Here is a 12,113-nt window from a genome sequence, read left to right as displayed (position 1 = left end):
TGCTTAATGCTCTACAAATAATATGTCATTTAATCCTCACATCAAACCTATAAGGTGGGGATTATGTGCCTTTTCACAGGTGAGAAAACTGAGTCTGAGAGAGGTTAACTCATCCCAAATCACTCAAACGATGACTACAGATGCCAGGGTATGAATCCAATTCTGATTCTAACATGTGCTGCTTTGCTACTATACCTAGTATTGGAGGTAGGGAGTGGCAGATTAATTTCAATAGACAGTAAAGAGAAAAAAGCTTTTATACTAATGGCCAATAACAATTTATCCTTCAAGGTTTTATCTTCTGTATAAAGAATGTTCAAGATTTTATTTTAAAAAGTTACTAAAAATTAGAAACAAATCCTCAAATTAAGGGAATACTTACATTATGACAATGTAATAGAGTATTACGTAATCATGAAAAATGTTCTTGAAGCATTTTTAATAACATACAAAATCACTTAGGCTACAATGTTAAGAAATAAGGGGATACAAATTATGAGGTTAATGAAAATAGCAAAAAAGAATTGAAACAAGTATGTAAAAATAATAAAAGTAATAATATCTGGGTAGAGGGCCACCATGTGATTTATTTTCTTTATACTTTTTCCTACTAACTTCAAACTTATCACAATGGGCACATATTACTTTTAAAAATTAAAAAAAGTAGTGACTAGCAATACAAGATCTTTAACATCCTTTTCATCCAATGATGAAGATCCAAATTTCCTTCTTCTTAACTCTCCTCCCCTCTTAATTCTGTCCGGTTTTCACCCCACTATTTCAGGTGGAAGTGAGCATACTCACTCATATGTCTATATATTTGGTGGCACTTGCACTGATGGTAAGACTGTGCAGAAGGGCACCAGGCTAACAGCTGTTTCTCAGAAGAATTGAGAATCATGACTAAGCATGTAGGTTTTTTTTATTATACTTTAAATTCTAGGGTACATGTGCACAACGTGCAGGTTTGTTACATATGTATACATGTGCCATGTTGGTGTGCTGCACCCATTAACTCATCATTTACATTAGGTATATCTCCTAAAGGCATGTAGGTTTTAAAGTCAGATAGATCTGAGTCTGAATTCTATTACTGTAATTTGCTTACTGTGTGAACTTAGGCAAGTTTCTTAACCTCTCTGAGGTTAATTTTCTAACATGCGAAAATTAATAATGATATTTTTCTCATACAGAGTTATGATTTAATGAGCAAATGCATGTAATGTACCAGGCATAGAGAAACAAACTCAACAAAAGGTAGTTATTATTTGGGAAGTGCTGTAACCTTTATGCTACAAGATTCATATTTTCATCCACATCAGTCTAAATATGTCCTCAAAAGTGAAGTGGCAATTATATTTATGTCCCTACTCTATAAGGTAAAGGGATTTTGCAAGGTTAAGGCCTCTACATTTGAAACCCATTTCCTTTATTACACCGGTGTATTTTGTTATTAGTTTACTTGCTCATTTTCTGTATCCTTTTCAAGATTCTAAGCTCCATGACCAAGTTACTTACCAGAGCCTAGTATAGTACTTGGGAATAGCTGGCCTTCAATAAAGATCTGTTGAGCAGATAAAACTTTATATTCTTCCAATTGCAAATTTGTATGTCTGTATCTCCAAACATATTTTGCAATACTTAAGTGATGGGAATGGAAAAGGGAAACTAAGAGTGACAACCATTTCCAGTCCACCAGAGTCCCTACCACTGCTGTCATTTCTTTCCTTCCTAACCCATTTAGTTAAGCCCCGAAAGAGAGGTCTAGCTCTGCCAAGAGTCTCTCAACATGAGCACTCCAATCAGAACACAGTGTAACAGTGTACTGTTTAAAATGCACTCTTTCCTAATTTCATGCTTCGGAAAAGTGGCCAAATTAAACAGTAAGTTATGACATCTATTTAGAATTGTGAGTGTGCAATGAAGAATGTGGTAGCATTTCCTAGGCAAACAACAATGCAATTAAAAGCAAACAAACACTAAGTCCTCATTTGCCATCTGAAAAATGGGAGTAATAATACCTCTCTAATAAGATTATTGGGAGGACTAATGGAGATGGGGCATATTAAAGTACTTAGCACAAAAGTAAGTACCAGATAAATGGCAGCTATCAATAAAACACAATACTAAGGTGAAGAGCATGCAGGGGCAATAACATATCCCCTGTGTGAGCTAATTTTTGAATAGCAAAACTGTCTAGTAACTTGAGTTTCATTTCGAGATTACACTGTATTGCCTGTCAATTTTCACTTGTATGAAACTTTATTATTTAACCACAAAATTTAAACCTTTTTATATTTGCATTTTAATACTTGAAGTTCTGTAATTTAAATTAAATTTTACTTTATGACAAAAGCTATAAAAAACCCATAAAATATTAACAAGCATTCTTTAAAAAAACTATATACTTTACCTGGCCATTTCCAAGCAGAGATGTATCTTTCCCTATTAGTAAATAGGATCCAAAAAAGAAAATAAAGGCATGACTGAAGCCCAGGATGGTCCAATAAAGAAATGTTTTAATACTTAAGAGGCGGTTTTTACTAATGTCTCTGTTAAAAAGAAGAGAAAAAGAAACATATTAGGGATCATTTATTATTTGCCCACTAAACAATTAATATAATATGATAATTAAAAAACAAGATAGATTTTTAATTTAAAATTGCTTGAAAATATTAGCACAAAGAATAAATAAATCCAAATTTATAAACCACTGCTTATAATATCATACATCTGTTTAATAGCTTATAGTTCACATACTACATTCAAACATATTTCTTCATTTGATAAAGAAATAGGAAGACTGGGTGCGATGGCTTAAGCCTGTAATCCCAGCACTTTGGGAGGCCAAGGTGGGCGGATCACAAGGTTAAGAGATCAAGACCATCCTGGCCAACATGGTGAAATCCTGTCTCTACTAAAAATATAAAAATTAGCTGGGCATGTTGGCACGCGCCTGTAGTCTCAGCTACTTGGGAGGCTGAGGCAGGAGACTCACTTTAACCCAGGAGGCAGAGGTTGCAGTGAGCTAAGATCACGCCACTGCACTCAGCCTAACGACAGACTGAGACTCTCTCTCAAAAGGAAAAAAAAAAAAAAAAAAGAAATATGATAGGCTGGGCATGGTGGCTCATGCCTGTAATCCCAACACTTTGGGAGGCCAATGCAGGAGGATCACCTGAGACTAGGAGTTTGAAGCCAGCCAGGGCAACATGGCAAAACCTTGTCTCTACTAAAATAAATAAATAAATAAATAAATAAAAAGTTTAAAAAATTAGTGAGGCATGGTGGTGTGTGCCTGTAATCCCAGTTACTCCAGATGTTAAGACGGGAAGATTGCTTGAACCTGGGAGATTGAGGCTGCAGTGAGCTACGATCTTGCTACTGCACTCCAGCCTGGGTGACAGAGCAAGATCCTGTCTCAAAAAAGAAAAAAAGAAATATGACATAGGCATAATACTTCACTTTAATTTTGAAAAGTTGATTTATCTGTTATTATATTCTTCTGTTAACATTCAGTCACTCTGCCATAATGGTCTCTTTTTAGTGAGGTTATCTGAGTTAGGTTCAGCACTGATGCTCCTAACTTCCCTTCTAATAATAGCTATTATGGGAAGAACAATCTATGCCAATCTTAGGTCAAGCCCTGTCCTAGATAACCTGAGGAATTGAAGTAAATTAATCCAAATTTAGATAATGAGATGACTCTATAAGTGGTACTTCAATAGCTATCTCTATAAGAGCTTATGGTGAATACCATAGCTGGTCCTGAGGAACAGGTCCCAATCACATCTCTGTGATTACTTGGTTCTGGGGAAGCAGGAATAAAGCAGAGAATCTGGGGTGGGAATTAATGTCCTCACCTCTGGATTTTGCACTAATTATTACTCATAAATTTCGCTAATAGTAGAAAAAAACTTTTAGGAATTCTAGAGACTACCAATTATGAATAACTTCTTTTGTGCACACGAAATAGAATATTACTGGTTTGCGAGAGTAAGTGCAAATTACACAACTGCCCAGTGCATTCCCAGGATGAAAGTGCTCATTCTTAAAAAAACACCGGAAAAATTATTCCAATTTTCTCTTTGAAAGAAACCTTTTTTTCTCTGATATTCAACAACTGTAAATCATACGACAACTAAAGAACTTTCCTTAGTAAAGCATTAATCACCAAGACATAAATAAATCTGCTTATTTTTTACTTAAAAAAACTGATAAGGCCATTTAATACCAGAAAATACTTACCGATAAAGGGTGGGCTTATTTTGTAACACATGAGGGTCTACATGCTGTTCCAAAAGACTATATATCAGAATAGGTAGGGAAGTAAAACAAATATTGTATAAAGTCAGGTACACGCTGTCATACAATGTCTAGAAAGAGAAATTGGTAGGAATGTTGAGTTTCTGAATTATGCATTACTATTATGCATATGACAACTATGCATATTAAAAACAAAATTAAAGTTTTAAAAATTTATACTGAAATCCATTTTAGTAACTCCAATTAAATAATTCTAATTTGTTTTTAATACTGACATAAACATATAATGTTCCTAGGTTGATATTCTTTGTGAGAACTGGAATATTTTGCTATATCAGGTGCTTCTGGAATTATCGTGAGTTAGATCAACATTTCAAGGTTCTCCACAATTTGATCACTGTGAAGTAATTTTACATAATTCTCCTCCATGTATTCCAGGCATCTTACTACTCCTTCCACATGCAACACATACAGTTTACCTTTCATGGCTTTGTCTCCCTGTCTACACACTACACTTCCTTTAAGGCACTGAACAAGACTATCTTCTTCCATGAAACTCTGCACAATGGCTTAAGTCCTTAACGATATCTTGCTCCTCTAAACAGTCACAGGTACCACTGTTGGTACTAATCACTTAGCACTTTGCCTATGCTTTACATATTGTTTTTATTGTTATTAATACTGCCTCCCAAATTACACTATAAACTCTCCAGAAAACCTAATCAAAATAGGTCAGTTTTCCTTGTCGTATTGTCTTAGCATATTCTTTAGTTCATTTAGGTAAACAAACTTTTATCGGTAATCAATGCCCAAGCAAATATTTGGAATTTAGAGTTACAGGTTGTAAACAGGATAAAACAGCAATTAAGAATAGGAAAAACTCATGAAAAAGTTAAGATAATTAAGCTCTTGTTTTTTCAATAAATTAGAACTAGTGTCTTGATCAATTTGAGATGTATAGTATGGTATGTAAAAAGGGTGCCTGCCACATTAGTCAGAAGCAGTAGGTCAAAGTTATGGTTTAGTCATTAAGTTAGCAAGGCAAGTTACTTAATTTATGTGGATTTCATTTTTCTTTTCTAGAAATTAAAACAAAGTAGATCAGGACTGGTAAATATGTGACATGCATGCAAACAAAGACCCACCTTGTGCCCATTACAACTATTGCTAACAAATTACATTTTCCCTCTGAGCCTGCAGCTTTAGAAACCTTTTCAATATACTCTAGGTGCCCCATCAATTATTTAAAGGTAGCTTCTGAGATAAAACCTATATGCCATCCCTGGACTAAATCACTACTGCTCCTTCCAAACCTAAGACATTTCGAATCAAAAATAAAAATGAGGTGAACCTCCAAGTTATCTGGCCTGGCTTGATTTGGATTTTACAGAAATATCACAAATAAGTTATCAAAATTCTCTCATAAGCTGTTAAGGGTTATTATCTATTTTTAAAAGCATCCAGAATTACATTTTGGTATTAACACTCACCTCAAACTGAAAACCAGAATAAATAAATATTCTGAATGTCATGCTGGTTAAATATACTAAACAGAAAAGTTCTGTCTGGTTCCCTGCAGGACTAAGAAAAATGAAAAAAGTCCCTTCAAACGTCTATCAAAATCTGAACATACATACGTTACTCTAAAAGGACAAAACACAAAACACAAGTTTCTATTTACTTACTTGCTGAGAAAACAAACAGTAGAACTGATATAAAAACTGGGGTGTGATAAAGCACACATTCTGAAAAACAAGATTAAATGGAAAATAATTAAAATATTTAGGTTTCAAAGACAAAATAAAAAATAAAAAAAATGGCTGTTAAAGTGTCCAAAAACAATCTCAGTTGGTATGGTAAGTAAAGGATAAGGACTTGTCCATATATAACAGGAATGCAGGATTCCCATTTTATCAAAAAATGTCTAAAAACATTCTAAGCAACAGTGCAGACATCAGAATGAAAAAACCCTTGACTCCTCTCACTGCCAAGCAACACTATAATTTTGAATTTACAACCTTCAAACTATTACTCAATACTTTTCATATATAGTACAATAAGTAAGATTTACTCAAACTTTAGGGCTATATCTTTACAACACAAAAATGTTTAAAACACACAATAAATCAAACTATCGAAACTTCTTTCCATCTCAATATACTCATATTACAAGTAAAAGCTAGAAAAATAAGTTAGAAAAAAACTGCCATCATCTTATAGCAATATGCAATCTACTTGTGTTCTATCACTGGATTGTAGTTATCAATTATAGAAATATATGCAACATAGTACACTCTGGTGTTATTAAATGTATTGGTAACAGGGGCTCTTAATGTGGGTTCTGCAAACTCCCACCTTGTACCAAAGGACCCAAAGATAGGACAATATTTCAACATAATTTGTTTCTTTGTAACCCTATGTATTTCATTTTATGCATATAAAAGCTCCATATTGAGGAGCTCACACATTTCACTAGACTACTAAAAGGTCATTCATGGCATAAAAAGGCTAAGAACTCTACTTAAAACCATTATATTGGTGTTAAAACTTATTGCTGGTTCAGGACAAAATAACTTTAAAGATATCAAATGTACTATGTTCTAATTTGCATGGAACCCCTGGGCCCCAGGCAACCACTGATTTGCTTTCTGTCAGTATAGAATAGATTTATGACAAAATACTGTTATTTTTACTTATTGAAACTATTTTAAAGAGAAATGTATAAGGTTATAACATTCCTTAAATTGAAACTTCATATTACTATATCAATAATTGATTCTAAATACATGAAACTCACCTTATAAAAAAAATACTGTACAAGGGTAGCTATTCTAATATAATAAAAATGACCATGAACAAAAAGCAATTTGGAGAGGAACTTAAATCTGGCTATTGCATAGTCACTGTTTCTTGCAGCCTGTCTTCCTTCTTTACCCATGATTCCTATAATAAAAGGGACAAAAGACATGTTCACTGATAACTGTAATTTTCATGATAAATCTGCAAATATCTTAATTATTTATAATAGTTGAACATGCACTTAGGAACATTAAATCCTAATATACAGCAGATAGCAGATGTCCAAAAGGTTGTTCTACTTAAATATGTAATTAATATAAGGCTACGATATTTATCAGACACATAACACCAATTTCCAAAGAATTAGAATATAAAAAGATAAAATACAATATAAAAAATAATATTGAAAGTTAAGGATTTAGCAGGAACATCAATTATTACACTAATAAGCACAAGTACTGGGTAACAGACTTCTGATGGACAGAATGCTATAAAATACTTAACTTCACTATTTTCACTGAATATAAAAAATATTCAAATTGAGTCATTTGAGTTTAGCAAAATGAGTCATTTGTTTGCTTAACACTTCCATGAATAAGTCAAAGTGCACTTTTTAAAAGGAAAATATGAATTTAAAATAAATAAATTTTTAAAAATAAGCAATATCATTTGAAATCAGTGCAACATTTCCTCTGATAAATATGAATACTTTTTTAATGGTTACAATAATCCTTAAGGTTTCAAAAGAGAAGAAGAGTCATTGCCAAGTTTTTATTTTCAATCTAGAAGCAACTTAAAAAAATTATTTTTCAAAACTAAAACTTTGTCATAAAAGGATGAAAGTGTTCCAAAATGTATAAGCGATGAAAAAAACCTGTATTCATAATCCCTAGAGAAAACTGCTGTTTTTAGTCTGCATTCTTTTTTTTTTTTTTTTTTTTTGAGACGGAGTCTCGCTCTGTCGCCCAGGCTGGAGTGCAGTGGCGGGATCTCGGCTCACTGCAAGCTCCGCCTCCCAGGTTCACGCCATTCTCCTGCCTCAGCCTCCCAAGTAGCTGGGACTACAGGCGCCCGCCACTACGCCCGGCTAATTTTTTGTATTTTTAGTAGAGACGGGGTTTCACCGTTTTAGCCGGGATGGTCTCGATCTCCTGACCTCGTGATCCGCCCGCCTCGGCCTCCCAAAGTGCTGGGATTACAGGCGTGAGCCACCGCGCCCGGCCTAGTCTGCATTCTTTTAGAAATTTTCTTTCTGCTTATTTCATGTCTGTGTGTGTAAGTATTTCATACATACAAAAACACGTATAAAAATGTGGCTCAGGCTGGGCACGGTGGCTCAGGCTGGGTGTGGTGGCTCACGCCTGTAGTCCTAGCACTTTGGGAGGCCAAGGCAGGTGGATTACCTGAGGTCAGGAGTTCGAGACAAGCCTGGCCAAAATGGTGAAAACCCATCTCTACTAAAAATACAAAAATTAGTTGGGCATGGTGGTGGGTGCCTGTAATCCCAGCTACTTGGGAGGCTGAGGTAGGAGAATCGCTTGAACCCAGGAGACGGAGGTTGCCGTGAGCCGAGATTGAGCCATTGCACTCCAGCCTGGCAAACAAGAGTGAAGCTCTATATCAAAAAAAAAAAAAGGATTGTTTTACAACTTGCTTTTGTTGCTTAACAGATTATGGACACTGCTTCAAATGTATACTTGTAATGTACATCTTTATCAACATGCTCAATTTTTTTTACTAGAAGAAATTCCTGCATTCATAATTGCAATGTCAATAGGCATACTTTAAAATTTTGTTTGGAGTAATAATGCAGGGTATACCAATTTATGCTCCTACTAACATTGTATAAGATCATTTGTTAATCTATACATTTACCAACTCCAGGTTTATCAGTGTTTATAATGGATGCCAATCTGACAGGCAATTTTAACTTCCATTCCTTGGAATGTTAGAGAGACTAAACATTTTTTTCATACATTTAGTATTCTTTTTAGATTTCTCCTTTCATAACAATCGATTGCTCACATCCTTCCATATTATTTCTACTGGAACGTTTTTCTTATTCTCATTAATTTGTTAATACTTTGTATACCAGGATTATTACAACTTTGTCATCTATTTTACAAATATTCTTTACTAGTTTGTCCTTTGTTTTTAAAATTTGTTTTGGGAGCTTTTACCTCTGCATGATCTTTTCCCTATAATTAACTATAGTTCCTTGCTTTGGTGTTGTCCTCAAAAGATTCTTCCATACCGCAAATAACAGAATTATTCATTAAATTTTCTTCTATTACTTTTTAGGGTCTTTATAAGTTACTTAAATCCTAATCCATCTTGAATTTGTTTTGTTACAAATAATAGAAAGAGACTCAACTTCTCTTTTTTTTTTCAAATCACTAACCAGTTTTATCCATTTTTTTTCTACTAAATAATTTGTTTTCCTACTTATTTGAAATATCTCCTTTGTTATATTCTAAATTTCCAGATGCTTGAATGTATTCTAGTCACTGGTCTGCCTGTTATCATTACAGAATTAAACTGTTTTAAATACTGTAATTTTTTTTATAGCCTTAAATGTATGGTATAGGAAGTTATCATCAAATTGCTATGAAAATTTATGGAAAATAACGGTATACAAACTAGAAGGAGAATTAAGTTTTCAAAATGAAGAATTAATTATCTGAAAGAGGAAGGAGTTGATCTAAGAGGCACACAGAAAATATCAGACCTGATAACTTCCCATCCAGCACATTATAGAGACTATTCCAGAACAGGAATTAGCTTAACTCTCAAATTTTATCCTTCCATAAAAAATCCTATGCCCACACTTTTCATTTTGCTCTGTATTTATACAATAAGAGTATATGGCTAAAAAGGAAAGGATTAATAAATTCAATATAATGAAATGACATTAGCAGTCTGAATCTAATAAAAGTTTTAGGCAAAAATAGAAAAGAATAAGGATAAAGGTTATTAAAATGAGAAAACTACTTGAGATGTTGTGTTTATCGCAGTTTAGTACAATTTCCTGTCTTTATAATGATCTTTAAAATGCGCTGTAGGATCTTTAGATGCACAAATACACTGAGTAACGGTAAGATTCTAAAACAAGAACCAGCAGTGCAACTATGTAAATCACAAATTTAGAATTTAAAAAGGATAAAATAACATGTGAAAGTACTTTAAAAGGTACAAAATGACATGTAAAAATAAAGCTACTTTTATTATGAAAAATAATCGGCAAAGATAAAATTCACTAATGTGGTATTTATTTCCTTTAAAATCTGAAACTAAAATTTGGAATGAAAATATATTAAATAGTGGGCTTAATTATAGGAAGTTTCTTTTTTTTTTTTTGAGACAGAGTCTTGCTGTCGCCCAGGCTGGAGTGCAGTGGCGCGATCGTGGCTCACTGCAACCTCTGTCTCCCGGGTTCAAGCAATTCTCCTGCCTCAGCCTCGGCTCACTGCAACCTCTGCCTCCTGGGTTCAAGCAATTCTCCTGCCTCAGCCTCGGCTCACTGCAACCTCTGCCTCCCGGGTTCAAGCAATTCTCCTGCCTCAGCCTCCTGAGTAGCTGGGATTACAGGCACGTGCCACCACGCCTGGCTAATTTTTGTATTTTTAGTAGAGACGGGGTTTCACCACGTTGGTCAGGTTGGTCTCGAACTTCTGACCTCGTGATCTGCCTGCCTCAACCCCCCAAAGTGCTGGGATTACAGGCGTGAGCCACCACGCCCGGCCTAATTATAGTAAGTTTCTGATGGGGCACACTGTGCTATATTATTACCATGTTGCAATTTTCATTCACAAATTTGATACTGTACTTTAATCTACAAAAAGAAAATTAAAAACCACCAAATAATACCACCAACTTTAAAAGTTCAGGAAAAACTTTTCAGGAAGAATCAATCACCTATGCCAACATGGGCTTCTTGTATCATGCTTACGTCATTAGCACCATCACCAACAGCCAATGTTATAGGTTTCTCAGGTGATATTTTTATTAGTCTTATTACCTGAAAGACATAATGAATTGGTTATTTATGACGCAAGTTCAATTTTCTTGCATTCATATAGTCATTTATCTGAAATGACTATAGTAAGAACACTAATGAAAGAAATATTTAATTTTTTATTAGACAATAATATGCAGGTTCATTTTTTTGAGGGTATCTCCATTAAGATTTTAGAGATGTCTTTCAGAAATGTTATAATAAAACAGAGAATTATCTTTGGATTTTATGATGAGAAACAAGAATCTTTTAAATATAGCTTAAATATTTAGAAGGTTTAATAGTAATTGTGTAAAAAATGACTACTTAATTGAACTGTTAGGCAAAATTTTTTCTTAAGAAATTATTTTTTCATTTGATATGAAAGAAATAATTGTTTCCTCTTGTAGTAAAATTTTAAGACTTTAAAAAAATCAATCAAGATTAAATTCAATGAACTCAAAAGAAATATTTCTTTGGAATTCTTGAATGTACTTTTATAAAGAACCTGGGTATTTGCTCTGTTTGGTCTCCAGTTTTAGTCTCCATAGACTGGGGTACATGAATTGTCATAGTATCAGTACTGTAACAAAATTCCAGGAAGCCCAAAAACTTAGACGTTTAATTTATTAGACCTATATGGGAAATAATCAGTATTTAGATGTGCACTGCAAAGGATATTTGTGAAAAACAGTCTAAGATCTCAAATTCCAAATTTAGAATTATAAAAAATGTTTATATAGGCTTTCACTTGAATCACATAGGTAGCTGAAATTTAAATATTTCCTATATATAAGCTTTACAAGTTAATTGGCTTTTCAACTTTTTATACTAAAGCTCTATTTATCACTTTATAGCTAAAAGTAACAAAGAATTATCACTTCATGAGAATGCAAGAATAAACGGAGATCAACAGAACCATCTGAAGGTGCAAATAATTGATGTCTCCTAGGCTCCTTCACTCGCTAAGTAGCTAACTTGCGAAACATTAGTTATCACAGTTTAATTTCTGCAAGATCACAAACTGCTACTCATCACAGGTTTTCTGGGTCAC

At 33.8% G+C, this 12,113-nt stretch overlaps 1 protein-coding gene across 6 annotated transcripts in view; it reads right to left on the bottom strand.

Annotated features, from left to right (window-relative positions):
• Nucleotides 1-12,113, bottom strand: part of ATP11B (ATPase phospholipid transporting 11B (putative)) — a 128,126-nt gene that overhangs the window by 29,668 nt on the left and 86,345 nt on the right. For all 6 annotated transcript variants that reach the window (XM_047447784.1, NM_014616.3, XM_011512593.3 and 3 more), the window contains 5 exons: nt 10,981-11,083; nt 7,064-7,209; nt 5,952-6,011; nt 4,249-4,376; nt 2,414-2,552 (listed from right to left, as the gene is read on the bottom strand). In XM_047447784.1, the coding sequence (XP_047303740.1) occupies nt 2,414-2,552; nt 4,249-4,376; nt 5,952-6,011; nt 7,064-7,209; nt 10,981-11,083 (576 nt within the window). The remainder of the gene's footprint in view (nt 1-2,413; nt 2,553-4,248; nt 4,377-5,951; nt 6,012-7,063; nt 7,210-10,980; nt 11,084-12,113) is intronic.

The sequence above is a fragment of the Homo sapiens genome, chromosome 3 (assembly GCF_000001405.40).
Source record: "Homo sapiens chromosome 3, GRCh38.p14 Primary Assembly".
Classification (NCBI taxonomy): domain Eukaryota; kingdom Metazoa; phylum Chordata; class Mammalia; order Primates; family Hominidae; genus Homo; species Homo sapiens.
This window is presented reverse-complemented; position numbering and strand designations above follow the sequence as displayed.